Below are 12930 nucleotides of genomic sequence, written 5' to 3' on the forward strand. Positions count from 1 at the left end.
GACGTCCCGCGCGGGCCGGCGGGGGCGCGGTCTGAGGACGTCACTTCCGGCGCCGGGGCTCACTTCCTGGTGCGGGAAGGGGCAGAGATTGGTGCAGCCCCGGAGGAAGAAAAAAGGGTGAGGAGAAGCAGCGGCTGAGCGGGTTGGCATCTGGGGCAGCGGGCTCGCTCCAGGCCGTCGGGGGCCGCTCGCCAGCGTCGCCCGCTGTGTTGGGAGCGCGGGCCGTGGGCGTCGCTCGGCCTTGTCCGCGGCGTCCCCGCTGCCGGCCACGGCGCTCAGCGCTTGTGCTCTGTATTGCAGGTCTACCCCGAGCCCCGGAGCGAGAGCGAGTGCCTGAGCAACATCCGCGAGTTCCTGCGCGGCTGCGGGGCTTCCCTGCGGCTGGAGGTGAGCGCGGGCGGCCACGGGCCGAGGGAGGGGCCGGGAAGACGGGGTTGGGCCCGGGGTGGGTGCTTCGCTCCAGCCGGACCTCCTGCCTCCTCCGCGCCCGGATCCGACCCTCCCCGGCTGCTCGAGAGTCCGGGATGTGTGGAACGGGGCGTTGCGGGTTTGGGTAATGGCCGGGAGGTGGCGGCGCGCGGGCCACCCCCAGGGCAGGGTGGAGTCTGCGTGTGGAACCCCAGACATTGCTCTCGTTCCAGTGAGGAAGAGTGGTTCTGGTCGCTGGTGGTGCAGGTGACACACATTTTCAACAACCGTTTATCAGGGGTGTGAACCGATTTCTTGGCACCTGCCTCAGCATGAACTCTGCTTTTAGAGATTGTCATCTAAGGGCTGGCATCTAGGTCTGGGTCAGGCCTTAGAATCCTCAGCAGGTGATCAGGCAAAGTCGTGCAGAAATAAAATGGGCCAGCCCTCCGCCTGCTTCTCCCAGCCGCACTCCTTTCTCTGCTTTTTCTTCCTGAGACCAGAAATTCGGTGGTTTTTCCGTACCCTCAACACTTAATGTCCAGAGAATTCACATTAACCAGTATGTGACGTTTATAAAACATGCTGTCGGGGAACATACTGGGCGGGGTCTCGATTCCCTGTTGTAAAATGTTGTGTCACTTTACTAAACATTGTCTTTTCAGTCTTTCAGTGGCAGTTTCTGGGAATTTAACTCTTTCATTTTATTTTGCTATTGCGATTCTTCCTACACTTGGGGTAGCACTTTAAATACAGAAATCTAGCTTTGCTTTTCTTGGGATCTGCTTAAGTGGTTGCAGTCAGTCCTGTACTTAAGTCCTGCCGTTTATGTTGCCACTTTGTCACTCTTAACCTTAGTTTTCTTATCTGTAAACTGAGATGGGCAATATCAAGCTCCCAGATAAGAGTACAGTCGGCCCTCCGTATCCAAGGTTACCCACCCGTGTATTCAGCCAACCTTGGATTGGAAATACTGGAGGAGGGGGAAACCAATTAAAAAAAAACAATAAAAAACAACACAGTATAATGATTATTTACATATCATTTATAATGTACTAGGTAGTGTATGAAACCTAGAGATGATTTAATGTTTACGGGACTATGCCATTTTATATAAAAGACTTGAGCATCTGAGGGTTTTGGTATCCACCGGGATCCTGGAACCAATTCCCTGCTGATAAAAAGGGACAACTGTATATGAAAGCATCTTTGTAGAACCTGTTATGTAGGATAACCCAACAGAGGTTTCCCTTCCCGAAGAATATTTTGCTATAGGTTTCTCGGAAAACCTAGAACATCAAATCTGTGAGGGCAGGTTACATGGAAAGTTTATTTAATTGAATTAGACATGTAGGAATTCATAGATTAAAGTATTACTGGCGTTGTTTATGATTGTAAACACAAAGAAATTTATTGTTGGTAGTATTTCATGTTGGCAAGGAAATTATTACACGTAAGTGAAAGTGCTAGGGGAGATTCCAAGAAACTTAGGGCCTTTTCAAAGGGGAAAAAGACAGTGTTTCAGTAGTCTTTCCCTGATACCCTTTGTCGTATCAGCTTTGTCATTTGTAATCCAGCTGCCTTATTGGCTGTGATAATATGCCTTGCTAGTGGCAGGTTTTACTTTTTCTTCACCTTTGTGAGGGATTTTATTATATTATCCTCTTGAAACTACTGAGTTTTGTTTACGTTAACATACTTTTGAAACTCAATTGGCACATTAAGATTATCTGACTTTAGTGTAAAACTTTTTAAAAAAGTTTTGTTTTAAAGTAAATTGAGGCTGGGTGTGGTGGCTCACGCCTGTAATCCCAGCACTTTGGGAGGCCGAGGCGGGTGGATCACATGAGGTCGGGAGTTCGAGACCAGCCTGGCCAACATGGTGAAACCCTGTCTATACTTAAACAAACCCAAAAACAAAAATTAGCCCGGCGTGGTGGCGTGCACCTGTAGTTCCAGTTACTCAGGTGGCTGAGACAGGAGAATCCCTTGAACCCCGGAGGCAGAGGTTGCAGTGAGCTGAGATTGCCACTGCACTCCAGCCTGGGTGACAGAGCAAGACTCCCTCAAAAAAAAAAAAAAAAAAAAAAGTAAATTGAATGTTAAAAACTTACCGTTTTTAGTTTTCCAAAGGTTGCTGACATTTCATACAGTAACTATTGTTTTTATAATTAAGAGTTTATTTGAAGGTTTTCTGGAAGAGAGTTTTCACTAACATATTCCAAGCATCTACAATAGTGCTTGGCACATAATAGGCTTTCAATAAATATTTGTTACTAATAGAATGAACTTGAGGTTGTAAGTGATAGCAAGTGAGTTTCATTTTAAAGTAAAAAATTAGTTTTGACTTATTTTGTGCTATTTTTAAAGAGTAAATATCTCTTCCAGTAAATTTAAGCAAGAGGCAAATGTTAGCATTCTTCAAGCTTAGTGTGAGTCACACTTGTAATTACCTAGGAGATAATAAAAATGAAAATATGAAAACAGCACATGAAAAACCTGATAAATTGTTCAGTCATTGTGTTTTTTGGGAAGTTACCCTGAGAAGTCATTTTGTATGCTATGCATCCAGCTCTGGCTTCCAGCCTTGTAAGGTGATGTGAAGGGACAGGGCTGGGCCCTGAAGGACTTGGTCATCTCCCATGCGGGCCACAGTGCAGCAATTTCCCAGTGTTTAAGAATTGCTTAGGGAGTCAGGAGGGAAGGGCCTTGCACTTGTGAAATATGTTGTGGGATTTACACATTTCATTTTCACAAAATTCTGAAAGGTGGGAAATTGATAAGAAATGTTTTGAAACTACAGACACAAAACTTAAAACTAATAGCTTAAATTCTAGATTAGCTTTTGTTCTATAGTTGTAAATGTCAAGGTGCTTTTCTTCCAGGGGTTAGTTTAGACTGAATTGTGTTTGTAACAGATTGTTTTTGGTGTATATATTCTTATTTACTGTCAGTTTAAGCTCTGCTAAGATTTGTTAAAGGGAAAAAGGAAGTAAACTTGGTTAATATGTCAGCTGTTTTGGTGCATGCCCTCCTTAATTACCTGTAGAAAATCAGATATTATCCCCCAATTGTTTTGATTATGAAAATATTTTTATAAATTGGTTTTAAAGGAATATTGTGTGAGTCGCATTTATTGGTAAACTTTGAGAAGCACTGGGTTTTAAGCTGGAAAACTTTGAAATTTGGAAAATTAAAAAAATTTAATTACTGTTGGAAAGCAGTGCAACTTGGATGACTTCATTTTCTTATAACTTTTTTACTTGGCATGCTTAAATTTTTTTTTTTTTTCCAGTTAGGGCAAAAAACCCCTAGGCACACAATTTCTATTTGTATCTCAAAAGCAACCAAAATAATAATTATTAATAAGAATAATGATGATGTTGGCTGGGTGCAGTGGCTCATGCCTGTAATCCTAGCGCTTTGGGAGGCTGAGGCGGGTAGATCACCTTAGGTCAGGAGTTTGAGACCAGCATGACCAACATGGTGAAACCCCATCTCTACTAATCACGCCACTGCCCTCCAGCCTGGACAACAGAGCAAAACTCCGTCTCAAAAAAAGAAAAAAAAAATGATGATGATGATGATGTTTGTAGAATTTCACTTGAGGATAAGTAACTTACTGAGGCAAACCAAGCAAGTGATAGGACATTTCTTTGCATTTTCTTAGGTAAACAGCTACAGAGAAATTCAGAGTGATTTCTGTTTCCAGTATTTTGCTATGTTACTGTGGAATTCTGATTCAAGTGTTGTAGCTACTGTAGGATGTGTATGTGTGCATGTGTGTGTGTGCACATGCTTGTTCACTGAAAAGGTCACAATGAATTAGCTTCCAAGATGTTCCCACCCTATGCAACATTGTCTGATTAGGCATCTGACAACTAGGGAAGCAGGTGAAATGTAACTGGCAAAAGCAGATTTTATGTTCCTAGGAGAAAGCTTGTTTGGTTAAAGCCATCACGCCTGTAACATGTTTACCAGTTTTTTATTTCAAGAGCTGAAAGTTAAGGATATAAGATTCCAGTTAATTGATACATTATTAAGCTCACATTAATAACGTGGTTTCAGGAATATTAGCAACAAAATTATTATAATAAAGCTATGGATTTTAACTTAGTTCTGTTTGAAAGAAAGATGTCTACTGTTCTTGATACTTAGCTATATTCATACATAATAGAAAAGGGTAATCTTGATGGATAGTTTGATATTAATGAGGCTTTTTTGCTTAAGAATTGACTGTGGGCTCACATACAGTGTTACCATCACTACTTGAAAGGAAAACAAAACATTTCAGATGAAACTGGGTGAGCCTGTTCTCATAGTTGCCAAGAGGGAATAAAGCCAATTTGTCAAGTGTAAGGAAACCACAGCTCTTTCTTGTCATAGACCATTTCTGGAATAGTTATGTTTGATATGATAGGGATGGTAACCCTAATATATTAATAATTGATCTTTCCAGCTCCTTGGCACTGCAACTAATACTAAAATTATCTGCAGGTTTCACAGTTGCTGTTCATTTATTTAACTGTTTTTCTGGAAAAGTGGAAAGCATCCAAAGGCCCAGGTGGTTCAGAACAGAAATCTGCTCTTTTCTCATCCTCACCCTTGGAAGTTTTTGGTTGGCTTTTGGTCTCTCAGATCAACAGAGCATGAAATGTAGACCAGCTAGTCACATAAAGCTTGCCTCATATCCAGTTTCTTTTCTTTAATTCTTATATTTTGTTTTTAAATTGACAAATAGTTGCATGTATTTATGGAGTAACATCATTATGTTATGGTATATGAATGCATTGTGGAATGATTAAGTCGGGAATGAACATATCCGTTACCTCACATACTTCTTATTTCTTTGTGGTAAGAACATTTAAAATCTAATCTTTTAGCAATTTTGAAATATACTTTAAATTATTGTTAACTGTAGTCACCTGCTGTACAATAGATCACTAAAATTTATTCCTCCCGTCCGACTGAAATTTTGTACCCTTTGACTAACATCTCCCCTTTCCCTGTCTAGCTCCTGTTTCCTCCTTCCCAGCCTCCTCAGCATCTGGTAACCACCATTCTCTTGTCTGCTTCTGTGAGTTCAGCTTTTTTACACTTTACATATAGGTGAGATCGTGCAGTATTTGTCTTTTTGTGCCCTGCTTTCTCTTAGCACAATGTTCTCCAGGTTCATTCATTGTTGTTGCAAATAACAGGATTTCCTTTTTTTAAAAGTCTGACTAGTATTCTATTGTGTATATATCCCACATTTTCTTTATTCTCTCATCTTTCAGTGGACACTTAGATTGATTTTATATCTTGGCTGTTGTGAATAGTGCTGCCATGAAAATGGGAGTGCAGACATCTCTTCAACATACTGATTTTAGTTTCTTTGGCTATATACCCAGTAGTGGGATTGCTGGATCATATGATAATTCTGTTTTTAGATTTTGGAGGAACCTCCATACTGTTTCCCAGAATGGCTTCAGGAATTTACATTCCCACCAACAATGTGCAAGGCTTATCTTTTCTCCACATCCTTGCCAACACCTGTCGCCTTTCATCTTTTTGATAATAGCCATTCTACAGTTGTGAGATGCTCTCATGATTTGAATGTGCATTTCTCTGATCATTAGTGATGTTGAACATTTTCTAATCTGTTGGCCATTTGTATGTCTTTGGAGAAATGTCTGTTTGGGTCCTTTGCTCATCATTTTTTAATCAGGTTTTTTTTTGTTACTGAGTTTTTAAATATATTTTGGATATTAGCTTCTTATCAGATGTATGGTTTGCAAATACTTTCTTTCCGTTCTGTGAGTTGTCTCTTAATTCTGTTTTGCTGTGCATAATCTTTTCAGTTTGATGAAATCCCATTTATCTTATTTTTGCCTCTGTTTTCGGTGCTTTTGGGGTCATATCCAAGAACTCATTGTCCAGACCAATGTCTTGGAGCTTTCCATGGTGCTTATTTCTGGTAGTTTCATAGTCTCAGGTCTTACATTTAAGTCTTTAGTCCATTTTGAGTTCATTTTTGTATGTGTTGTGAGACAAGGTTCCAATTTAATTTTTCTGCATGTGGATATCCAATTTTCCCAGCACCATATGTTGAAGACTGTCCTTTTCCCATTGGGTGTTCTTGGCACCTTTGTCAAAGGTCTATTGACTGTATCATGTGAGTTTAATTCTCAGCTCTCTATTCTGCTCTGTTGGTCTGTGTGTCTGCTTTTATGCTAGTGCCATGCTGTTTTGGCTGCTATAGCTTGGTAATACACTTTGAAATCAGGTAGTGTGATGCCTCCAGCTTTGTTCTTTTTACTCAAGAATGCTTTAGTTATTGGGGTTTTTTTTTTTTGTGATTCCATGTGAATTTCAGGATTGTTTTTCTATATCTGTGAAGAATACCATTGTAAATTTGGTAGACATTGCATTGAATCTGTGGATCACCTTGGATGTTTTAACAGTACAGGTTAAGCATGCTGACTGATACGGTTTGCCTGTGTCCACACCCAGATCTCATCTTGAATTGTAATCTGCATAATCCCCACGTCTAGGGAGAGACCTAGGGAGAGACCCAGGAGATTATGGGGATTACAATTCAAGATGAGATTTGGAGTTAGAGATCAGCCTGGGCTACGTGGCAAAACCTCATTTCTACAAAGAAAAAAAAAATCTATTGGACAGTGCTGGATCCAGTAGAATCCTAGGAGATGGGATCATGGGGGTGATTTCCCCCATGCTGTTCTTGTGATAACGAGGGAGTTCTCAGGAGATCTGATGGTTTTATAAGGGGCTCCTCCCCCTTTGCTCCTCACCCTTCTGTCTCCTGCTGCCCTGTGAAGAGGTGCTTTTCGCCATGATTGTAAGTTTCCTGTGGCCTCACCAGCCATGTGGAACTGTGAGTCATTTAAACCTCTTTTCTTTATAAATTACCCAGTCTTGGGTATGTCTTTGTAACAGTGTGAACGTGGACTAATGTACATGCCAAACCTGAAAATCCAAAATGCTCCAAAATCTGAAATTCTTTGAGTACCAATGTGACACTCAAAGGAAATGCTCATTGGAGTGTTTTGGATTTTCAGGATTTGAGATGCTCAACTGATAACTATAATGAAAATATCCCTAAATCTGAAATACAAAACACTTCTGATGTCAACTTGTGTCACTTCTGAGAATGTGTACATGATGCTGAGTAGCACAGAGCATGCTTGTGGCATGGGTGCTAAATGGTTAGCTTGGCACACTCACAGCTAGTAATTGTGACTTTGATCTTCAGCTGATTTCTCCTTTTTTGATTCAGGGTTATTGCTCACTCCTGGTAGCTGCCCATGATTATCAGGTATTTGCTTTGCGGGGGACGGTATAGGGGGAGGGAATGTAGTGCCTGACCCCAACCCCTTTCCTGGGTTGCTGTCCTGTGTTGCCACTCGCCAGCTGTGCCATCAGGAAAATGGGTGTCACACGTGCTTGCCCTTTGTGTCTGTCGTGAGGATTACATAAATTCATGCAAAACTCTTAGAACAGTGCCTGGTAAGTTGGAGGTGCCAAAGAGACAATAGCTGTTATTATCATTTGCATTATTATTCTTTCGTGTAGTTGGAGCCATATGGTATATTTTAAATCTTTACCCAGGGTTCCATATTCATTTTTTAAACTGCAGTAAATAGAGCTATGTAAGAAGAAAATGAAAAGCTGTATAATGCTACCGTTTAGAGATACCAGTGTTAAAATTAGTATTTCTTTTTTGGTAATTTTTTTTTTAACCATTGCAAATATGTAAATATATTTTTAAAATATCCATGACATCATAGATACATGTAATGTTTTATAACATGCTTTAATTTGATCCAGTGTGAGTCTTTTCCCATGTTAAATAATTATTTTACTACTGATTTTAATGGCTGCCTCTTAGTTCCTGGTAATAATCCCCATTTTTGGATACAGAGGTGGATTCTAAGTTTCCACGGTTGTGAACAGTGGACTGTGCAATGGACATTTCTGTACCACACCCTTAATCCTTGATTTTCTTTGTAGGACAAATTCCCTGATAGGGCACTGCAAGGCCAAAGGTGGGGGCTTTCAAAGGCTTTGAACACCTGCTACCATACAGCTTCCAGAGAACTTTTGCCAGTAGCAGTACATGAGAGTACTCCTTCCTGTCCTATGGATGTCCTGTGGACAGCTGTCTTGAATCTTTTATATATTTTCTTTCCCTTAGGAAGATGGAAAACTTGTTATGGATAAACATTTTGGCTTTTCTATCTTATATCTTCCACAGTGCTTTATATTTCTGGGGAGATTGCAAACTAAAATAAATGTAAGTCAGTCAACATTTCCTGCATTGGACTTTTGAAAGAGGATGTGAAAGAAAAGCTGCTAGAATTGGAAATAAAAGTTGAAAACCCTAGAAATTTGCAGTGTTATCAGCTGTTGCACAAGTAACCTTGCATGGCACTGGGTGGGACATTCTTGGGCCACTCTGTACAAGCTGGAGTTCTGGCTGTAAATGCATCTTGAGACGGTCTGCAAAGGTGAGAGGGCAGGTTTTCATTTTCTCACTTTACAGTCGAGAGACTTCAGAAGGAGTTCAGGTGGGCAGTCCAGCATCGTAAGGAGCTGGGATAATTTAGTGAGTGAGAGGTTTTGGAAAAGAAATTGCCTTACCTGTTTCTGAAACACTCATCTTCCCTGTGTATTTCTGAAGGACAAGTTCTTTTATTATACTGCTCTGCCTAATGCTCAGTTCTCTTTTAGATTTTTTTTAGCCAAGATTGTGATTAGGATTTCACCCACAAGAATAGTTAAAAATATTAACACTTTTGAAAGAATTAAAATGTGGGAACCACTTACTGAAACTCAAAACTTGTTGATGCAGGCTTAATAATTAATTGCAATAAAAACAGAAGTAAATCTATAGTCTGGGATGGGACGCCCAGCCAAGTGTTGTCTTTGTTCTAGATTCAGACAGATGAGGAGGTAAACTGTTTATTGAAACTTGGCATTGAAGGTTTATAAGCACCAAAGATATGTTTGAGGCATTCTTTTTAGCTGGGCACCCTTCTATACTGTTGATACCAAGCGTGAAACGGTTGGTCACAACATAGTGTTTATTGACTGATTCATTGAATAAGCTGTTGAAGCTTATTCCTGTGTAGGACTTTAGTTAAGGAAGTTAAGTAAAAATATTGTTTGGGAGAAGAAATGAGTAACTATTCCCTGAACATTTTGTAGGTAGTTTAAAGAAAGACAGTTTCCATTCAGATACTGTAATTGTGTTTTAATTTCACCTGGCAAGAAGTGTCAAGAGATGGCCCTCTGTCTTGTACCTTAGTGCCTTGCTGTACTGTCTTGCTGGGTGAACATGAAGTGTTCTGGTTATCCAGGCTGCTTTTCTAGTGTAGACAGCTAGACTTCCCCCTTCGTTTCAGATCTTTGGAATGTCTTCTTTGTCTAGATCAGCACTGTGCAGTAGGAATATACTGGGAGCCACAGATGCGATTTTAAGTTTTTTAGTAACTACTTTAAAAAAGTGAAGCAAAGTTAATTTTAGTTTTCATTTTTAAATATTTATTTATTTATTTATTTATTTTTGAGACAGAGTCTCACTCTATTACCCAGGCTGGAGTACAGTGGCGTGATCATGGTTCACTGCAGCCCCCACCCCACCAAGTACCTTAGACTACAGGCATGCACCACTATGCCTGGCTAATTTTTGTATTTTTTTGTAGAGATGAGGTTTTGCCATGTTGCCCAGGCTGATCTCTAACTCCTGGGCTCAAGCAGTCTTCCCACCTCAGCCTCCCAGAGTGCTGGGATTATAGGCATGAGCCGCTGTACCTGGCCTAAAGTTAATTTTAATAATGCATTCTATTTAACCCAGTGTATCCATAAAATTATTTCAACATGTAATTGATACATATTAATGAGGTATTTTAGTTTCTTCACATTAAGTCTATAAAATCGTGTTGGAATTTGTTATGGCCACAGCACATCTCGGTTTGTATTAGCCACATTTCAGTTGCTCAGCAGCCCATCTGTGAGTGGCCCCCGTATTGCGTGTTGCGTTTGGATTATTTAAGAGGCTGGGGAAATACGGTGATCTTTGAAATGAAATGGGACCCAGGTTTGTTGAGAACAAATTGTGTGTCTAGGCATTTTCCTTGTACTGTTTTGTTGAAACCTCACGATGCCCTGCAGAGAAGATGGCAGTTCCCCACTTAGCAGATCAGGAGGCTGAGACTTGAAGTGGTTCAGAAGTCACAGGTCCCGGCTCAGCCAGTGAAGAGATGCGGAATTTGAACTGAGATGCATCCACTCCACTGGCTGGGTTCTTCATACAAGCATGCTGCTGCCTAGTGTGGCATTAGGTGAGGTGTTTGACAACATCAAGGCAATACTCTTAGGCTGACTCCTGGCAAGGCCCATGGGCAAGTTCTCAGGAGAACTTACCTGGTGACAGGGCCTGCCTCGTGGGTGTGCGACTAGTGTTGCCACACAGGGCCCTGTGCTTGGTTTCATGCTCTGCTGTTGCCATCAGAAACTCTTAAGAATTTTTTGATAAGGAGCTTTGCATTTCCAATTCGTGCTGGACCCTGCAATTGAGTACTTGGTCTAGCCTGCTGGTATTGTTCTTAGAGGTCTGTGATCAATAACAGGATTAAACAGCATTTTCTGAGTGCCTATTATGGCCTAGGCCCCATTATGAAGTGTGTGTTAACCCGGTTTGAAAGTAGCTGTCTCAAGTTGTTACCACCATTTTCCTCACACGATTGCATCCGTGACCCCAGGCAAGCGGAATCGGGATAAGAATAACCCTCAACAATCCCTGCTACTAAAGAATTGCTTAAAGTACTTCCTCCTGATAGGAAGTTAAGATAATTTGTTGTCTCTCATGCATTAAAAATTGCCACAGCTTCCAAGGCAGCCACCATTTTACCTGTCAGTGATAAGGACCCGTGATAATATTGGCTATGGGTTTTGTTTTTCTAAAGGATCCTTTTGGGAAAGCCATCCTCTCCAGTGTTGGGATGATAAAAGGATGGGAAGTCGGAGTCAGCTTGAACTTACCAATCAGAGAACATGTAGGGGTTGAGTGGAGGGGAAGATCCTCTCCAAGGAATTGGAGAGAACTTTCTACTCACATTACGTCTAACTAGCCAGAGGATGGGCACTGGGACTGTATACTTGTAAGGTTCCTTCAAAGCCTGAATTGTGTGAGTCAGTGATGCAGCTACTTTCTAGATGAGCTACCAGTTTAATAATAGGACTTAGCCCCAGATTCCTCTCCCTTTTTGGCCCTTGACATGGGACACAGATCCCTTAGTAGATGTTCATGCCTGGCCCATGTGGGCAGCCGGGTAAGTCTTTCCAGTGCAGCTGGTCAGTTGGTCTCACCCAAGAGTTGCATCACTTGTATCTCCGCTGGTTGTTCAGCAAGTACTGGCAGCACTTAACACGTGCAGTAAAGCAGTGAGGCTGTTTTGCCACCGTGACAATGCAGTTGAGTTTTGCCTAACGTGAAAATACTAAGTTTCTGTGTATTCTCTGCTACCCACAACCAGAAGGCTTGGAGGAACAAGCGTTCTGGTTTGTTTATCTGCATCCCTTCCCCTTGATAAAGCAACTGTGAATTTGGTCTTCATTAGCTGTAGTCTGTTGAACCGACTCAGTATAGCCAGGGTAGAGGCAGAAGGAAGTGTCCTGCACAGCGGTACAGCTGAGGGCTTCGTGCTCCTGAGTTCGTGGCACAAGAGAGGGATTCAGTGGTCAGCTCTGCATAGTCTCTCATTTTCTAGCAAATAGAAACCAGAGTGGATGGCCTCATATGTGTAAGTTCTCATGAGACTCAAATGGAAATTAGTTGTCCCTGAGGTTCTTCATGCTTGGCTGATTGAACTAGATGGTTTGAGAGGGATATTTTGTAGATTAAAGGGTGAGATTAGGGCTGGGGAGAACAATGGTGGTAGAGTGGCCTTAAAGACCAGCCTCCAGGAAAGCCTCTGGCAGTTGGAGTCCCCACTCCCTGCCATTAATCATCTGTCACATCTGGTTCATCTTCCTTTTACTAACCCCAGAATCTTGGCTTTTCTCTTTGCCCACCACCATTAGCCCAGGCTGTCCACATCCCTCACCTGGATCACTGCAGCAGCTCCTGGCCAGTCTATCCTTGCTTTTCTCCAGACTGTTTTTTTCTGAAACGCAAGGCTGATTTTGGTCATTTTCCTCCTGACTCTGATTTTACCTAATGTCTTAGAATGAAACCCATGACCCTTGGAAGAGATGGGGAATAATAGGAAGTGAGGCCAGGGAGTCGTGGGGAGCGAGATCAGGTGGTCCTGTAGGTCCTGTCTTTTCCTCCAAGTGATATGGAGCCTCTGAGGGTGTTTGGGCAGAGGGGAGAAGGGATGTGATGTAAGTTTTAACAGGATCATTTTGGCTGTGTTTTGAGTATAGACTGAAAGACTCAAGGGCAAAAGCACGGAAACCAAAGAGGACAGGATGGCACCAATCCGGGTGACCTCCCAGGTGATGGTGGCTGGAACC

The 12930-nt window shown here is 41.8% G+C and overlaps 1 protein-coding gene across 46 annotated transcripts in view, besides 1 other annotated feature; it reads left to right on the top strand.

Moving 5' to 3' along the window:
* The window catches only part of ARHGEF7 (Rho guanine nucleotide exchange factor 7), a 191116-nt gene that overhangs the window by 38986 nt on the left and 139200 nt on the right, over positions 1-12930 (top strand). For 18 of the 46 annotated variants that reach the window (XM_047430733.1, XM_047430735.1, XM_047430744.1 and 15 more), the window contains exons 1-2: positions 62-117; positions 301-387. The exons of 4 other annotated variants lie outside the window; for them this stretch is intronic. Coding sequence is in view for 12 of the 42 variants with exons in the window: in NM_001113511.2 (NP_001106983.1) it covers positions 301-387; positions 5423-5485 (150 nt within the window). In the remaining 30 variants the exon portion in view is untranslated. Of the gene's footprint in view, positions 1-61; positions 388-5422; positions 5486-12930 lie in introns of those variants that run through there. 24 more of the 46 variants (XR_007063704.1, XM_047430722.1, XM_006719956.4 and 21 more) reach the window with 5 other exon arrangements.
* Positions 104-463: a silencer, noted in NCBI's record as "silent region_5528". NCBI's record gives its function as "represses an Ori minimal core promoter by ATAC-STARR-seq in GM12878 lymphoblastoid cells {active_cell/tissue: GM12878}" and the evidence as "EXISTENCE:reporter gene assay evidence [ECO:0000049][PMID:35858748]".

This window comes from Homo sapiens, chromosome 13 (assembly GCF_000001405.40).
Source record: "Homo sapiens chromosome 13, GRCh38.p14 Primary Assembly".
In the NCBI taxonomy this organism is placed as follows: Eukaryota; Metazoa; Chordata; class Mammalia; order Primates; family Hominidae; genus Homo; species Homo sapiens.